The 17,769-nt window shown below is 44.0% G+C and overlaps 1 non-coding gene and 2 pseudogenes across 1 annotated transcript; 1 reads left to right on the top strand and 2 right to left on the bottom strand.

Moving 5' to 3' along the window:
* Window positions 1-2,356: 2,356 nt before the first annotated feature.
* LOC124903269 (small nucleolar RNA U13) lies at window positions 2,357-2,455 on the bottom strand. The gene has a single exon (XR_007063968.1). It is a non-coding gene; the product is annotated as a small nucleolar RNA U13 (small nucleolar RNA).
* RPSAP54 (ribosomal protein SA pseudogene 54) lies at window positions 9,505-10,539 on the bottom strand (annotated as a pseudogene).
* PPIAP27 (peptidylprolyl isomerase A pseudogene 27) lies at window positions 15,336-15,597 on the top strand (annotated as a pseudogene).

Below are 17,769 nucleotides of genomic sequence, written 5' to 3'. Positions count from 1 at the left end.
GCAGGAAAATCGCTTGAACCCGGGCGGCAGAGGTTGCAGTGAGCTGAGATTGTGCCACTGCATTCCAGCCTGGGAGACAGCAAGACTCTGTCTCAAAAAAAAAAAAAAAAAAAAAATCAAAACATATAAAAGTGATATACAAAAAAAGTCTCCTTCACTTCCAGTCATTCAATTCACCTCCCCACAGACAACAAATGATATTATTAACAATATACTGGGCATTCTTAGAGGAATGAAAGTTTATGTACAAGAAAAAATATATATGTGTACCTTTTGCCTCTTACAGAAATGAGGGAATATTATGCATATTTTTCTGCATTTGTTTTCTTCACTTGACAATATTTCTTGGCACTCTATATAGCAGCACATAAAGAAATTTTTTTATTCTTACTGCATAGTATTCCATTGTGAGGGTATTATAATCAAACTGGTCCCATATGGCTAGACATTTAGTTGTTTCTGACCTTTTCCTATTATAAACAATGTTAGAATAAATAACCTCTTATAACCATCATTTGTGTAAGTGAAAGTAATTATGTGGGACAGATTCCTAGAGGTGCAATTCTTAGGTCAAAAGTAAGGTGTATTTGCAAGGTTTATTGCCACATTTCCCTGTGCAGATGTGAGCAGTTTCTCCCCAGCTCCCTCGTGCACACTTTGCTGAATATGCCAAGAAGGCAAGGCCTGACTGCTCTTTATCTGAGCCATTTCTCAGGATTGGATTTGTAGTGAGCAGCTTTAAGGGGTAAGATGATGTCTCTCTCCAAGACAAAGAGCAAGTTTGCTTGCTGCTTGGTATCAAAAAGATTCTCCAAGCTTAGTATACCTCAGCAGAACCCATCTGGGTCTTCCACATTGCCCCGGTGGGACTAGGGAACAAGGGGAAACTGATGCAAACATGCTGCTTGCTGTGCTATGAAAAATAAAGTCCTTTGTCTCTGATCCAGGAATCTTTGTCTTAGTCCAGCATCCATTAAAGCAGGGGTCCCCAACACCCAGGCTACTGACTGGTACCAGTCCATGGCCTGTTAGGAATGGGGCTGCACAGCAAGAGGTGAGTGGTGGGTGAGTGAGCATGACTGCCTGAGTTCCACCTCCTGTTAGATCAGCAGTGCATTAGGTTGTCATAGAAGCACAAACCCTATTGTGAACTGCACATATGAGGGATCTAGGTTGATCTCTGCACTCATGAGAATCTAATGCCTGATGATCTGAGGTGGAAGACTTTCATCCTGAAACCATCCCTTCCCCGTCCATGGAAAAATTGTCTTCCACAAAACTGGTCCCTGGTGCCAAAAAGGTTGGGGACCACTCCACTAAAGAACAGGCTAACTTATTGCCTTGTAAAAGTAGGGAAGGCCAGGCACCATGTGTCATGCCTGTAATCCCAGCACTTTGTGGGGCTGAGGCAGGCGGATCGCCTGAACCCAGGTGTTCGAGACCAGTCTGGGCAATATGGGGAAACCCCATCTCTACTAAAAATACAAAAATTAGGCCAGGCGTGTTGGCTCACACCTGTAATCCCAGCATTTTGGGAGGCCAAGGCAGGTGGATCGCCTAAGGTCAGGAGTTCAAGACCAGACTGGCCAATATGGTGAAACCCAGTCTCTACTAAAATACAAAAATTAGCTGGGTGTGGTGGCACACACCTGTAGTCTCAGCTACTTGGGAGGCTGAGGCAGGAGAATTGCTTGAACCCTGGAGGCAGAGGTTGCAGTGAGCTGAAATCGTGCCATTGCACTCCAGCCTGGGCTACAGAGTGAGACTTCGTCTAAAAAAAAAAAAATTAGCATAATAAAAAAATCTTCGATATTAAGTCAATATTCGTAAGTAGTACTCTGCTGGTTTTTTTTTTTTTTTTTTTTTTTTTTTTTGAGAGGTTCTTGCTCTGTCACCCAGGCTGCAATGCAGTAGCATGAACATGGCTCAGTGCAGCCTTGACCTCTTGGACTCAAGTGATCCTCCTACCTCAGCCTCTCAAGTAGCTGGGTAGCTGGGACTACAGGTGTGCACCGCCATATATATATATATATATATATATATATATATATATATATATATATATATATATATATTTTTTTTTTTTTTTTTTTTTTTGTAGATACAGGGACTCCCTATGTTGCCCAGGCTGGTCTTGAACTCCTGGGCTCAAGTGATCCTTATGCTGATATTATTAATCCTGTTAAATCTTTTTCCATCAGTAAAAAAAGCTTTTCCTTTGTAAGAGAATTTTCCATTTCCAGCAGAAGCCTACACTGAATGGACAAAATGAGCTTATTCACCTTAGAAAAGAAAAATCTTATTGGACACTGGGATGAAGTGCATATGGGTCATTGTGAGTTTTTTCCTAAGTTCACATCAGATGAGTCATGTGCCAATGTAACAAAGTTTGAGGGAGGCACCTCCCATATGAGTGTGAAAACCCAATGGTCATGCTTAAAAGGTACAAAATGATTGGAGGCTATTGTCACAGAGTGAAAACCACTCGAATGGTTTTCTTTTTCAGTGTTGTTCTTTTTCAGTTCACATCAGACACATAATTTTTTTGTTTTGACTATCAAACATTTAAGAAAACTCAAGAGAAGGAAGGTCTGTCATATTAACTGATATTTTTGCTTACCATGTTCTTTCTTTTCTTCCTGATGTGCTAAGGCTTTTTCTTTTTATCTTTTTCTTTCTTTTTAGAGAACCTCCTTTAGCCGTTCTTTTAAGGGAGGTCTATTGGTGACATTCTCTTAGGTTTCCTTCACCTGAAAATGTCTTCATGTCCCCTCCCTTCCTGAAGGGTATTTCCACTGGCTACAGGATTCTAGATTGATAGTTTTCTTTCAGCACTTGAAAAATGCTGTGCCACTTCCTCCTGCTCTCCGTGGTTTCTCAAGAGAATCTGTAGTCATTCTAATGATTTTCCCCTATGGATAGATAAGGTGTTTTCTCTGGCTGCTTTCAAGCTTTTCTCTTTGCATACTTTTCAGAAGTTGAATTAGGAGATTCTTGGCTTAGATTTATTTGGGTTTTTACTGTTTGTGGTTCACTCAGCTTCTTGAATCTGTAGGTTTATTTTTATGGCCAAATTTGGGATTTGGGGAGTTTTCAGGCATTATTTCCAGAGCTTTTTCATTCACACCTCTCCTTTCGAACTCTACTTCTATGACTCTACTGATACAAATACTAGATCTTTTGTTATAATTCTTACGCTTCGGCTCTCCCACCTCCACATTCCCCTCCATTTTTCTCTGTAAAAATGGATACATCTGTTTACATTGGATAATTTCTATTGTTCTAGCTTCCAGTTCACTAATTCTTTCCTTGGACCCTTTTATTCTTCTCTTGAACCCATTCACTGAGCTTTTCATTTCAGTTACTGTATCTTTTAGTTTTTTAGTTTAGTTTAGTTTTTTTTTTTTGAGATGGAGTTTCCCTCTTGTTGCCCAGGCTGGAATGCAAGGCGCAATCCCAGCTCACCGCAACCTCCACCTCCTGGGTTCAAGCTTTTCTCCTGTCTCAGCCTCCCAAGTAGCTGGGACTACAGGCACATGCCACCACACTGGCTAATTTTTTTTATTTTTAGTAGAGTTGGGGTTTCATCGTGTTGGATCAGGCTGGTCTCGAACTCCTGACCTCAGGTGATCCGCCCACCTCAGCCTCCAAAGTGCTGGGATTACAGGCATGAGCCACCATGCCCAGCAATCTTTTAGTTCTAAAGTTTCCATTTTTGGAGCCGATCGTGGTGGCTCATGCCAGTAATCCCAGTACTTTGGGAGGCTGAGGCGGGCAGATTACTTGAGGTCAAGAATTCGAGATCAGCCTGGCCAACATGATGAAACTCCATCTCTACCAAAAATACAAAACATTTGCCAGGCGTGGTGGTGCGCACCTGTAATCCCAGTTACTTGGGAGGCTGAGGCACAAGAATTGCTTGACCCAGGAGGCAGAGGTTGCAGTGAGCCAAGATGGCATCACTGCACTACAGCCTACGCGATAGAGTAAGCCTTAAAAAAAAAAAAAAAAACAAGAAGAAGCCAGAATACAGGAGTTGGGGTAGGTGGGAGGAAAAGCAGTTTTAACTGGAGAGCCAGCAAACAAAGAAGATGGCAATAGCATTCTAAAGTACCGGCTTAAATTTTAAAATTTACCACGGGGTTTTCAAAGGGAAACTTGGTATGGGAAACATGCGGGAATGGTGCAGGGTGCAGGGTCCTGTGTGTCTTGTTCTGGTGGCTATCTTGGGTAATCACCTGTCCAAAGGTATGATTGGCGTTATCTTGACTTCAGCCTGGTGATGGTGGACTAATTGTCATGACTCCCCCTAAACGGGAGGATTCTGCAGTGGGGGCTTCATGCCTGGTTTGTTTGAGATTAGCCTCTGGGATTTCTTAAGCAAGAATGTAATTAGATAAACATTCATTGCCAGAGGGGAGTGTAGAGAGGGAAGGAATGAAGGGATGAGAGGGGAAGGAAGGAAGACAAAGAAAGTGAGTGATTAAAATATATTTTTAAAACTGAGGTACTTGGTTACGGGGGATCGCTTGAGCCCAGGAGTTCAAGGCTGCAATGAGCTATGATTGCACCACTGTACTCCAGACTGGGCAACAGAGTGAGACCCTTTCTCAAAAATGAGACCCTTTCTCAAAAAAAAAAAAAAAAGTAAAATTTCCATTTATTCCTTCTTCTAGTTTCTGTTTCTTTGCTGGCACTTTTTATCTTTTGTATCAGGAGTGTTTGTAATTGCTCATTAAAGTCTTTCTGTTATGGCTGACTTTAAATTTTAGATAATTCTAACATCTCTATCATCTCAGTGTTGGCTTCTATTGGGTTTTTTTTTTTAACTTAGTTTTGAGATCTTCCTAGTTCTTGGTGTGATGGATGATTCTTGATGGAAACCTGTATATTTTTGATCTTTTGTTGTAGCTGACTTTTGTTGACATTGCTTTGGCAGGGAAAGTGGACATGCTGCCTCATTATTCCCTAGGAAGGTAAAGTCCCCACTCAGCCTCTTTGGATGTTCAGGGTCAGGGGAGGCTGCTTGTTAATGCTGAGCCAGGGTAGGAGTGCCTGCTTTCCATGCTGTGTTCACCCCATGGGGTGGCCTCATTGCCAGTGGGCAATGGTCAGTGAAGTCCTGACTCTCCTAGGCCCCCTCTGCTGCTGCCCTAGCAGTGAGTGGGAGGGGCATCTCATAGCTACCGGGTAGACTAGAAGTCCAGGCTCCCCACAGGGCAGGAAAGATATCACCAGCCAATGGGGAGGAAAATCCCAGCTCCCTACCAGGAGTTCTCTGACATCACTTAGGCAGGAACATCGGGGTGCTTCATTGTAGCCTTACAAGGATGGAATCCTACTCCTCACTCAGTCATTGCTGGCACAGGTTGGGTGGAGCCACAGTTTTCTCTGTGGTGATTGCCTGGAGTACAGTAGTAATTGTCCAAGAGCTGCCTGGCTACTCTACCTCTTTCCTCGTCCTTTGGCTAGAGAAAGTCCTTCATGGGGACATTTTTGTCTGCTTGTTGCTATCTCTGATTTTCCAGTTTCTCTATTCGAAGTCTGGGATATTGAGGTAAAAAGAAATTACACGGTGGAGAGTGTTCTAGAAGGAAAACTCTCCACCATGTACTTCCTTAGCTACTGAGGTTCCTAAATGGTCTGCCTTCTCTCCACCTTTCAGTGAGAGGTTTGTCTTATATGTAATATCCAGGAGTTTTAGTTGTACTTAGCAAGAGAAATAAGGAGCAGTACACGCACTCCATTTTCCTGGAAGTGGAAGTGGGTCTCAATTTCAATTTCAATGGCAATTATTAATAATTAAAATTCAAAATTCAGGCCAGGCATGGTGGCTCACACCTGTAATTCCAGCACTGTGGGAGACCAAGGTGGGTGGATCACTTGTGGTCAGGAGTTTGAGACCAGCCTGGTCAACATGGTGAAACCCCATCTCTACTAAAAATACAAAAATTAGCCAGGTATGGTGACGCATGCCTGTGATCCCAGCTACTCAGGAGGCAGAGGTAGCAGAATCGCTTGAACCCAGGGGGCAGAGGTTGCAGTGAGCTGAGATCACCCTCCAGCCTGGGCAACGAGCCAGACTCCATCTCAAAATAAATAAATAAATAAAATAAAGGCCAGGCATGGTGGCTTACGCCTGTAATCCCAGCATTTTGGGAGGCCAAGGCAGGTGGATCACAAGGTCAGGAGTTAGAGACCTGCCTGGCCAACATGGTGAAACCCCGTCTCTACTAAAAAATACAACAATTAGCCAGGCGTGGTGGCACTCCAGCCTGTAGTCCCAGCTACTTGGGAGGCTGAGGCAGGAGAATTGCTGGAACGCGGGAGGCAAAGGTTGCAGTGAGCCGAGATCGTGCCACTGCACTCCAGCCTGGGTGACCAAGTGAGACTCTGTCTTGAAAAAATTAATTAATTAATTAATTTAATTTAATTCAAAATTCAATTCTTCAGTCACACCAGCCACATTTTACATGCTCAGTGGCTACATGTGGTAATGGCTACCATATGGGATAGCACAGGTATGGGAGGGTAATTGTCAAGTTTTGCATGAATCCTTGCACTGACAAACATCTTGCTGAATTCTGGGACTCATGTAAGTAGTCTTCATCTCTCCCTTATGTGTCATGTTACGCTTGGGCAATGGAGAGAACACTGCATTCCTTAGGGATCAGAGTCGGCAATACCTAGGATGTGTCAAGCACTGCTGGCTCAGCAGCCTCACTGCTGTAGTCCTTTCCTGCCTCACTGCTCTGACTCTATGGTACCTACTAGAACCACCTGTTTCTGATTGTCTCTTTAGGCTGGTGACTAACGCCTCCAAAAAGATTGTCTCAGTCTGTTTCACACTGCTATAACAAAATACCACAGACGGGTCAGTTATAATGAACAGAAACTTGTTTTCTTATAGTTCTGGAGGTTGAGAAGTCCAAGATCAAGGTGCCAGCATCTTGTGAGGGCTTTGTTGCTGCATCCTCCCATGGTGGAAGGCAGAAGGGCAAAGGGGCCAAAGGAGACTGAACTTGCCCTTTCATAAAAGCATTAATCTCACCCATGAGAAAGGTGCCTTCATGGCCTAATCACCTCCCAAAGGTCCCACCTCCTAAAACTGTTACCATGGCAGTTACATTTCAACGTAAGTTTTGGAGGGAATGAACATTCAAACAAGAGTCATGACTGCTTATAGATTTAACAAGAATAGCAGATAGTGGTATGCCTGCCAAAATGCCTCCTCTCTATTAAGACAGCAGCACTCAATCAAGGCACACATTCTGGCTGAACCCAGATTCAGCCTCAAAATCTAACTCAGCACATCAAGCAGTTCTTCTCAATTGATCAAGCTGAGCATTTGAGATAAAACCTACTTGCTACTCCTGGCATAATCATGCCAACTTGTTAACTTTCTCTCTTCCTCCTGTGACCCTATTATCTCCCATTTCCTGTGAAAGCCTCAACTTCTTTTCACTTTCCCCGACTCCTACACCAATACGATCAAAGGTACCCATATTTGTCCTGTCCCTTAGTTTTCACTGACGCCTTTGTCCCCTTTGTTTTTAAATTCCTGAAGCAGAACCATATAAGAGAAAAAGTCCCGGATGAGGAATCCAGGGCCTTGATTCTAAGCCCCACTTTGCACAGGTTGAGTGCCCCTTATCCAAAATGCCTGAGACCAGGCCAGGCGTGGTGGCTCATGCCTCCCAAAGTGCTGGGGAGGCCAAGGCAGGCAGATCATTTGAGATCAGGAGTTCAACACCAGCGTGGTCAATGTGGTGAAACCCCGTCTCTACTAAAAATAGAAAAAAAATGAACCAGGCATGGTGGCGTGCGCCTGTAACCCGAGCTACTCAGGAGACTGAGGCACAAGAATCGCTTGAACCCGGGAGGCTGAGGTTGCAATGAGCCAAGATGGCGCCACTGCACTCCAGCCTGGGTGACAGAGTGAGACCCTGCCTCAAAAAAAAAAAAAAAAAGAAAAAGAAAAGAAAAGGCTGGAACCAGGAGTGTTTTGGATTTGGGCTTTTTCCCCCCAATTTTAGAATATTTGCATCATACTTGTTGAGCATCCCTAATCCAAAAATCCAAAATCCACAATGCTTCAACACTCATTTCTTTTGAGCATCATGGCTGTGCTCAAAGAGTTTCAGATTTTTGGAGCATTTCAAATTTCAGATTTTCGGATTTGGGATACTCAACCCATGTAACTTTGGGTAAGTTCAAACTCATGTTGGATTTAGTAGCTACAATGGGGGCAGAGGGAATCTGAATAGGTTAATCTTCAGAGTTGGTGGTTTCTAAGAACTTGGGGGATGCTGGGGTTGAGCTGTGCTCTTATTCTATTAATACATAGATTTTCCTGGGGGGAAAAAGCATTCCGCTAACAAAACAAGTTTGAAAACCATGGTTTTGATGATTGGTATGTCTTTTTTGTTTAAATTTTTTTTTAATTTTATAAACATAATAAATATACAGTTTTTTCAAGTTAGATTACTAAAAAAAAGTAGTCTCTGTGCATCCCTTGCCATTTCCTGCTCTGCAAACACAAACACTCTCATCTCTTCAGAGTTATTTCTTCTGGCATCTTCACTATAGGCATTTATTGATATTTCTTGATTTACTTATTTTAAATATTTTATATTATCTTCATATTGTGGTCATTCTCTTTTTTTTTTTTTTTTTTTTAATGAGACGGAGTCTCGCTCTGTCACCCAGGCTGAAGTGCAGTGGTACGATCTCCGGCTCACTGCAAGCTCCGCGTCCCGGGTTCGCGCCATTCTCCTGCCTCAGCCTCCCGAGTAGCTGGGACTACAGGCACCCACCACCACGCCCGGCTAATTTTTTGTATTTTTAGTAGAGATGGGGTTTCACCGTGTTAGCCAGGATGGTCTCGATCTTCTGACCTCATGATCCGCCTGCCTCGGCCTCCCAAAGTGCTGGGATTACAGGCGTGAGCCACCGCGCCCAGCCTGTGTTCATTCTCTTATATTCCCTGCCCCAAGTTCATTTCCCTATGTAGTTCTATCACAATTTTTAGTTAAGTCAGTTGTCAGTGTAAATATTATTGACTATGCTAAAGTACTCTTTGAGCCAAATCATAGATTGTGATTATAGTTTCTCATTTGTACAAAATTTGTTTCCTCTTGGACTTTTTACCTTATTTCTTATATATTTTTTTTTTTTTTGAGATGGTGTGTCTTGCTCTGTTGCCCAGGCTGGAGTGCAATGGCACAATCTCAGCTCACCACAACCTCCGATTCCCAGGTTCAAGGGATCCTCCTGCCTCAGACTCCCAAGTAGCTTGGATTACAGGCGCCCACCACCACGCCTAGCTAATTTTTTTGTATTTTTTAGTAGAGACAGTGTTTCTCCATGTTTGTCAGGCTGGTCTCAAGCTCCTGACCTCAGATAATCCACCTGCCTCAGCCTCCCAAAGTGCTGGGATTACAGGTGTGAGCCACTGCGCACGGCCTCCCTTATTTCTTTCATTTGCTTTGTTTTCTTTTTTTTTTTTAGAAACTGATGTTTATTTTCCATCAACCATTTTTCCATGCTGCTTAAGAGCCTATGCAAGAACAGCTTAAGACCAGTCAGTGGTTGCTCCTACCCATTCAGTGGCCTGAACAGTGGGAGCTGCAGACCAGTCTTCCGTGGCAGGCTGAGCGCTCCAGTCTTCAGTAGGGAACTGCTGAATAGGCACAGAGGGCACCTGCACACCTTCAGACCAGTCTGCAACCTCAGGCTGAGTAGCAGTGAACTCAGGAGCTGGAGCAGTCCATTCACCCTGAAATTCCTCCTTGGTCACCGCCTTTTCAGCAGCAGCCTGCTCTTCTTTTTCAATCTCTTCAGGATCTCTGTAGAAGTAGAGATCAGTCATGACCTCCCATGGGTGTTCACGAGAAATGGTGCCACGCATGCGCAGAACTTCCCGAGCCAGCATCCACCACATCAAACCCACTGAGCGAGCTCCCTTGTTGTTGCATGGGATGGCAATGTCCACATAGCGCAGAGGAGAATCTGTTACACAGAGCAATGGTAGGTAGGTTAACATAAGACGCCTCCGTGAGAGGCTGGTGGGTCAGCCCTGGGGTCAGTAACCACAAGAAGCCGTGGCTCCCGGAAGGCTGCCTGGATCTGGTTAGTGAAGGTTCCAGGAGTGAAGCGGCCAGCAATTGGAGTGGCTCCAGTGGCCGCAGCAAACTTCAGCACAGCCCTCTGGCCAGTATTCCTGGAGGATATAACACTGACATCAGCAGGGTTTTCAATGGCAACAATAGCACGAGCTGCCAGCAGAAGCTTCTCCCAGGTCTTCTTCAGATTTATGATATAGATGCCATCACTTTTCCTTTTATAGATGTACTGTTCCATCTGGAAGTCAAGATTGGTGCCACCTAAGTGGGTTCCTGCTGCAAGGAACTTAAGGACATCCTCCTCCTTCATTTGCAGGACATCAAGGGCTCCGGACATTGTGAAAGTTTCCCTTTAAGTTACGACCGGAATCCAGAACAACGCCCTATGGACCCCTCTGTAGGTAGCGCGGAAAAGCGCTTTGTTTTCTTTGAACCTACAGAGGTTTTTTTCTTTCTATTTTCTGCAGTGGATCTGTCAAACACCAGGCTGTTTGTTTCCTGGACAGCAAATGCCGTCCGCCCTCTCCTGCAGTCTGGACTGGCAGCTCTCCAAACCTGACAGACAGCTGTCACCTTGGGAGTTCTCTTTGTCACTTTCCTGTATTGGAGTGCATTTTTGTCAAATGCTGTATCTTCCTTTTTCGTGATTTGCTCTTGGAAACATTTTGAGTTCTTGCTTGTATGAAAATGTTCCTCTTCTACTTGACTGAAAATATGAGAGGGCATAAAGTTCTAGGATAAAAACTAGCCCTGCATTTTGAAGTTACCAGTGCTTTACTTACCTGCTTCCAGTGCTTCTGTGCGAGTCGAATGCTGTCCTGACTCTCAAGCCTGTGTGAGCGATCCCCCCGCTCTTTTTTTTCTAGAAGCAGTTAGGATCGTTTCTGTATACCCAGTATTGTACATTTCATGATGATGTTCCTTGATACAGTTTGTTTTCATTTATTGTACTCATCACTCTCAAAGCTTTCAACCTAGAGACTTGTGGACTTCAGTTCTGGGAAATGTTCTTCTATTACTTCTTTAACCATTTCCCCACACTGTTCTCCAATCCCTGTCGGTTATATTGGATCTCCTCAATGGACCCGCTGGTATTTGTTTATATCCTATCATCCATGTCTCTTTTTATTCCACTTTTTGGAAAGTTTCATTGACTTTTTCACTCAGGTTTTTTTTTTTTTTTTTTTTTTTTTTTTTTTTTTTTAGACAGAGTCTTGCTCTGTCACCCAGGCTGGAGGGCAGTGGCATGATGTCGGCTCACTGCAAGCTCCGCCACCCGGGTTCACACCATTCTCCCGCCTCAGCCTCCCAGTAGCTGGGATTACAGGCGCCCGCCACCATGCCCGGCTAATTTTTTTTGTATTTTTAGTAGAGACGGCGTTTCACTGTGTTAGCCAGGATGGTCTCGATCTCCTAACCTCGTGATCTGCCCGCCTCTGCCTCCCAAAGTGCTGGGATTACAGGCGTGAGCCACCGCGCCTGGCCTTCACTCAGGTTTTATATTAAACTTTTAGGTGCAGGCATTATCTTCTTAGTTCCCAAGAGCTCATTCTTGGTCTCTAATCAATCTGTTTTTTTATGTCTTCAATATTTGTCTTTATTTCTCTGAAGTTATTATTTCAAGAGTTTTTTTTCCTTCTACTTCCTAAATTGTACTTCCTCTGGATTGCTTTTTGTTATCTTTGTTTTTTCTGCTTGTTTGTTTCAGACTTTCTCTTTCATGTTGCAGGCTTTCCTTAAGTGACTCTGACCATATTTATTTATTTACTTATATAATTTTTTTTTTTTTTTTAGATGGAGTCTCGCTCTGTTGCTCCAGCTGGAGTGCAGTGGCACAATCTCTGCTCATTGTAACCTCTGCCTCCTGGGTTCAAGAGATTCTCCTGCCTCAGCCTCCAAGTAGTTGGGATTACAGGCGCCCGTCACCATGCCTGGCTAATTTTTTTTTTCTTTTTTTTGAGACGGAGTTTCACTCTTGTTGCCCAGGCTGGAGTGCAATGGTGTGATCTCGGCTCACTGCAACCTCCGCCTCCCAGGTTCAAGTGATTCTTCTGCCTCAGCCTCCTGAATAGCTGGGATTACAGGCACCCATCACCACGCCCAGCTAATTTTTTGTATTTTAGTTGAGATAGGGTTTTACCATGTTGGGCAGGCTGGTCTCTAACTCGTGATGTCAAGTGATCCGCCTGCCTCAGCCTCCCAAAGTGCTGAGATTACAGGCGTGAGCCACCGCACCCGGCTTATTTTTATTTAAATAATAGTTTTATTGATATTAATTCACATATCATAAAATTCATCCATTTAAAGTAATACAATTCAACAATTTTTAGTAAATATAGAGTTGCACAATCTAGAACAATTTTAGAACATTTTTATCACCCTGAAAGAAATTCTGTTTTTCTTTTTTCTTTTTTATTTTTAGTTATTTATTATTATTATTGTTGTTATTTTTTGAGATGGAATCTCTCTCTGTCGCCCAGCCTGGAGTGGCGTGATCTCTGCTCACTGCAACCTCCATCTCCTGGGCTCACGCCATTCTCCTGCCTCAGCCTCCCGAGTAGCTGGGACTACAGGCGCCCGCCACCACGCCCGGCTACTTTTTTTGTATTTTTAGTAGAGATAGAGTTTCATTGTGTTAGCCAGGATGGTCTCGATCTCCCGACCTCATGATCCGCCCACCTTGGCCTCCCAAAGTGCTGGGATTACAGGCGTGAGCCACCACTCCTGGCCCGAAATCCTGTTTTTCTTTAACAATCACTCCTCATTGTCCTGGCACGGTGGCTCATGCCTGTAATCTCAGCACTTTGGGAGGCCGAGGCGAGTGGATCACAAGGTCAGGAGATCAAGACCATCTGGCTAATACTGTGAAACCTCGTCTCTACTAAAAATACAAAAAATTAGCCGGGCGTGGTGGCAGGCACCTGTAATCCCAGCTACACAGGAGGCTGAGGCAGGAGAATCACTTGAATCTGGCAGGCAGAGCTTGCAATGAGCCGAGATCATGCTACTGCACTCCAGCCTGGGCAACAGAGCAAGACTCCATCTCAAAAAAAAAAAAAAAAAATCACTGTTCATTTCTTATCCCCACCCCTATTGTCCACCTTAGGCAACCAACTAGTCAATTTTCTGTCTCATATAAATAGAACCATATTCTATGTGGCCTTTTATGCCTGGCTTTTTTTTTTTTTTTTTTGAGATGGAGTCTTGCTGTCTTGCCCAGGCTGGAGTCCAGTGGCTTGGTCCTGACTTACTGCAGCCTCCGCCTCCTGGGTTCAAGCGATTCTTGTGCCTCAGCCTCCTGAGTAGCTGGGATTACAGGCGCCCCCCACCACACCCAGCTAATTTTTGTATTTTTAGTAGATGTGGGGTTTCACCAAGTTGGCCAGGCTGATCTTGAACTCCTGACCTCAAATGATCTGCCCGCCTCAGCCTCCCAAAGTGCTGGGATTACGGGCCTGAGCCACCGTGCCCAGCCTCTGAGAGGCCTGGCTTATTTCACTTAGCACAATGTTTCCAAGGCTCATCCTTGTTGCAGCATGTGCTCACACTTCATTCCTTTCATGGCCAAATAATATTCCCTTGTATGGGTATGACACGTTTTATTTGTCCATTCATCAGTTGATGGACATTTGAGTTGTTTTCACTTATTGGCTATTATATTATTTTTTGGCTATATTATTTATATGTTATATATGAGTAATATTGCTTGAGAATTCATGTCCAAGGTTTTGTATGGACATATGTTTTCATTTCTCTTCGGTATATGCCTAGTAGTGAAATTGCTGGGTCAAATGGTAACTCTATATTTAAGCTTTTGAGGAACTGCCAGACTGTTTTCCAAAGCAACTACACCATTTTACATTCCTACCAGCAGTGTATGAGGGCTTCAATTTCTCCACATCCTCACCACACTCGTTCTCTTTTTTTTTTTTTTTTTTTTTTGAGATAGAGTTTTGCTCCTGTCCTCCAGGCTGGAGTGCAATGGTGGGATCTCAGCTCACTGCAGCCTCCGTCTCCTGAATTCAAGTGATTCTCCTGGCTCAGCCCCCCTCGTAGCTGGGATTACAGGCATGCGCCACGACGCCCAGCTAATTTTTGTACTTTTAGTAGAGACAGGGTTTCACCATGTTGGCCAGGCTGGTCTCAAACTCCTGACCTCAAGTGATCCACCTGCTTTGGCCTCCCAAAATGCTAGGATTACAGGCATGAGCCACAGTGCCCGGCCATAATTTTTATATTTTTAGTAGAGGCGGGGTTTCACCATGTTGGCCAGGCTGGTCTCAAACTCCTGACCTGAAGTGATTCACCCGCCTCGGCCTTCCAAAGTGCTGGGATTACAGGCATGAGCCACCGCTCCTGGCCATCACACTTGTTCTTATCTGTCTTTTTTATTATAGACGCCCTAATGGTTGTGTAATGATATTTCATTGTGGTTTTGGTTTGCATTTCCCTAAAAGACTAATGATGTTGAGCCTATTTTCATGTGCTTATTGGCCATTTTTGTATCTTCTAAAAAAATGTCTCTTCAAATCCTTTGCCCATTTAAAAAATTGGATTATTTGTTTTTTGCTATTGAGTTGTAAAAGTTTTTGTATATATTCTGGATATAAATACCTTATCAGAAATATGGTTTGCAAATATTATCTACCATTCTTGGGGTATATTGTGTTCTCGCTGGGTTTTTTTTGTTTTTTTGTTTTTTTTTTTTTGAGACAGAGTCTCACTTTTTCACCCAGGCTGGAGTGCAGTGGTATGATCTGGGCTCACTGCAACCTCCAGCCTCCCAGGTTCAAGAATCAGAATGGCTTTATATTTAACACTACAGAACAATAAAGCAAGGCCTTAAAGATGTGTAAAGTTAATTGTTTTTGACTCAAAATTCTATACCCAGACAAGTTATTAATTAAGCGTGAAGGTAAAATAAAGACATTTTCAGACATTCCAAAATTCAAAACATTTTCAGGAAGCTATTGGAAGATGTACTCCACCAAACTAAGAGATTAAACCAAGAGGCTTTTGCAGATGCCAGCACCACCCAGAGCCCCCTGTCAGCAGTCATGGTCAACCCCACTGTGTTCTTTTTTTTTTTTTTTTTTTTTTTAAGACAGGGTCTCACTATGTTGCCCAGGCTGGTCTTGAACTCCTAGGCTCAAGTGATCCTCCCACCTTGGCCTCCCAAAATACTGGGATTAGAGGCGTGAGACACTGCACCTGGCCAACCCCACTATATTCCCAGGCATTGCTGTCAAGCCCTTGGGCCTCATTTCCTTCGAGCCGTTTGCAGACAAAGTTCCAAAGACAGCAGTTCCAATGATATAAGGAGAAAACTTTCGTGCTCTGAGCACTCGAGAGAAAGGATTTGGCTATAAGAATTCCTGCTTTCACAGAATCATTCCAGGGTTTATGTGCCAGGATTTATGACTTCACACACCATCATGACACTGCTGACAAGTCCATCTACAGGGATTTTTTTTTTTTTTTTGAGACAGAGTTTCGCTCTTTCACCCAGGCTGGAGTGGCATGATCTGGGCTCACTGCGACCTCCACCTCCCGGATCACCTGAGGTGGATGGATCACCTGAGGTGGGGAGTTCAAGACCAGCCTGACTAACGTGGAGAAACCCAGTCTCTACTAAAAATACAAAATTAGCCGGGCGTGGTGGTGCATGCCTGTCATCCCAGTTACTTGGGAGGCTGAGGCAGGAGAATCACTTGAACCTGGGAGGCGGAGGTTGCGGTGAGCTGAGATCACACCATTGCACTCCAGTCTGGGCAACAAGAGTAAAACTCTGTCTCAAAAAAAGAAAAAAAAAAAAGAAAGAAAAGCTAAATAACAATCAACAAACAAACCAAGCTGGAGGAAGACATGAGGTCCAAGAAAGAAATGGTATCCAAGAGAAGAGGAAAGCATCCCGATGGTGCTGTGGGGGCAATTCAGAATAACAGCTTTGCACCTCTGGGAGGTGGCGAGCCATTCACATACGGTGTGATGCAGGCTGTAGGAGAGAACGCTTCACCAAAAGCATTTGGTGATTTCACCAAAATTATGACAGCACTATATTAGGAAGACAGAAGGATGGGAACAGCAAGCTCGAGTACTGGGGGCAGAGGGTTTAAAAGTTAAAGTTGGCCAGGCGTGGTGGCTCATACCTGTAATCCCAACAATTTGGGAGGCTGAAGCGGCAGGATGATTTGAGCCCAGGAATTCAAGACGAGCCTAGGGAACATAGTGAGACTCTTGTCTCTACACAAAAAAAAAAAAAAAAAAAAAAATTACATGGGTGTGGTTGCATGATGTGCCTGTGGTTTCAGCTACTAGGGAGGCTAAGGTGGGAGGACTGCTTGAGCTGGGGAGGTCAAGGCTGCAGTGAGCCGTGATCACATAACTACATAACTGCACTCCAGCCTAGGTGACAGAGTGATTCCCTGTCTAAAAAAAAAAAGTTAAATTCTTTCCTCGTATAGTGGGAGACACTGTAATGAGATCATGCCTAAGATGGAAAACTCAACATGTTGCATTACCAGCATGCAAGTTGAATACAGGTTCTTCGTTAGATGCATGTTTTGAGACTATTTTATTGAATTTGCTTAATGATATCTTTTAAAGAGCAGAAGGCTTTGATTTTGAGGAAACTCAATTTATTATTTTTCTCTTTTTTATTTTTTATTTTTTATTTTTTTTGAGACGGAGTCTTGCTCTGTTGCCAGGCTGGAGTGCAGTGGCGCGATCTCAGCTCACTGCAACCTCTGCCCCCCAGGTTCAAGCGATTCCCCTGCCTCAGCCTCCTAAGTAGCTGGGACTATAAGTGCACGCCACCAAACCCGGCTAATTTTTTGTATTTTAGTAGAGACGGGGTTTCACCATGTTAGCCAGGATGCTCTCGATCTCCTGACCTGTGATCTGCCCGCCTTGGCCTCCCAAAGTGCTGGGATTACAGGCGTGAGCCACCACACCTGGCCCATTTTTCTCTTTTACAGTGAATGTTTTTGTGTTCTTGTTAAGAAATCTTTTCCTACCCTAAGATGATGAAGAAATTCTCTTGTGTTTTCTTCTAGAAGATTTTTGGCTTTTGCTTTTATATTAGATCTAAGACTCATGTCTAACAAATGGTTGTGTTTTGTGATCTTTGTTAACTGACGTGTCTTACTTCTCATCAACTCCCCAGTGCCGAGCGCATGGTAGGCACCCATAGTTTCTGCTGAATTCTGTGTTCCTCTCCATGCTCTTCGAGCCAGGCCTGTGTGTTCCAGACATTTGTTTTCTTCTCACTCTTCCCATCACTCAGCGCCCAATGCTATGTTATACATAATAATAACCCTCAGTAAACAGGTGTCCAAAGATGGCCAGGTGTAGTGGATCATGCCTGTAATCCTAGCACTTTGGGAAGCAAAGACAGGTGGATCACTTGAGGTCAGGAGTTTGAGACCAGCCTGACCAACATGGCAAAACCCCGTCTCTACTGAAAAAAAAATACAAAAATTAGCCAGGTGTGGTGGTGGGCGCCTGTAATCCCAGCTACTCGGGAGGCTGAGGCAGGAGAATTGCTTGAACCTGGGAGGTGGAGGTTGCAGTGAGCCAAGATCGCGCCACTGCACTCCAGCCTGGGCGACAGAGCAAGGTCTCCATCTCAAAACAAAAACAAAAC

The sequence above is a fragment of the Homo sapiens genome, chromosome 13 (assembly GCF_000001405.40).
Source record: "Homo sapiens chromosome 13, GRCh38.p14 Primary Assembly".
NCBI classification, from domain to species: Eukaryota; Metazoa; Chordata; class Mammalia; order Primates; family Hominidae; genus Homo; species Homo sapiens.
This window is presented reverse-complemented; position numbering and strand designations above follow the sequence as displayed.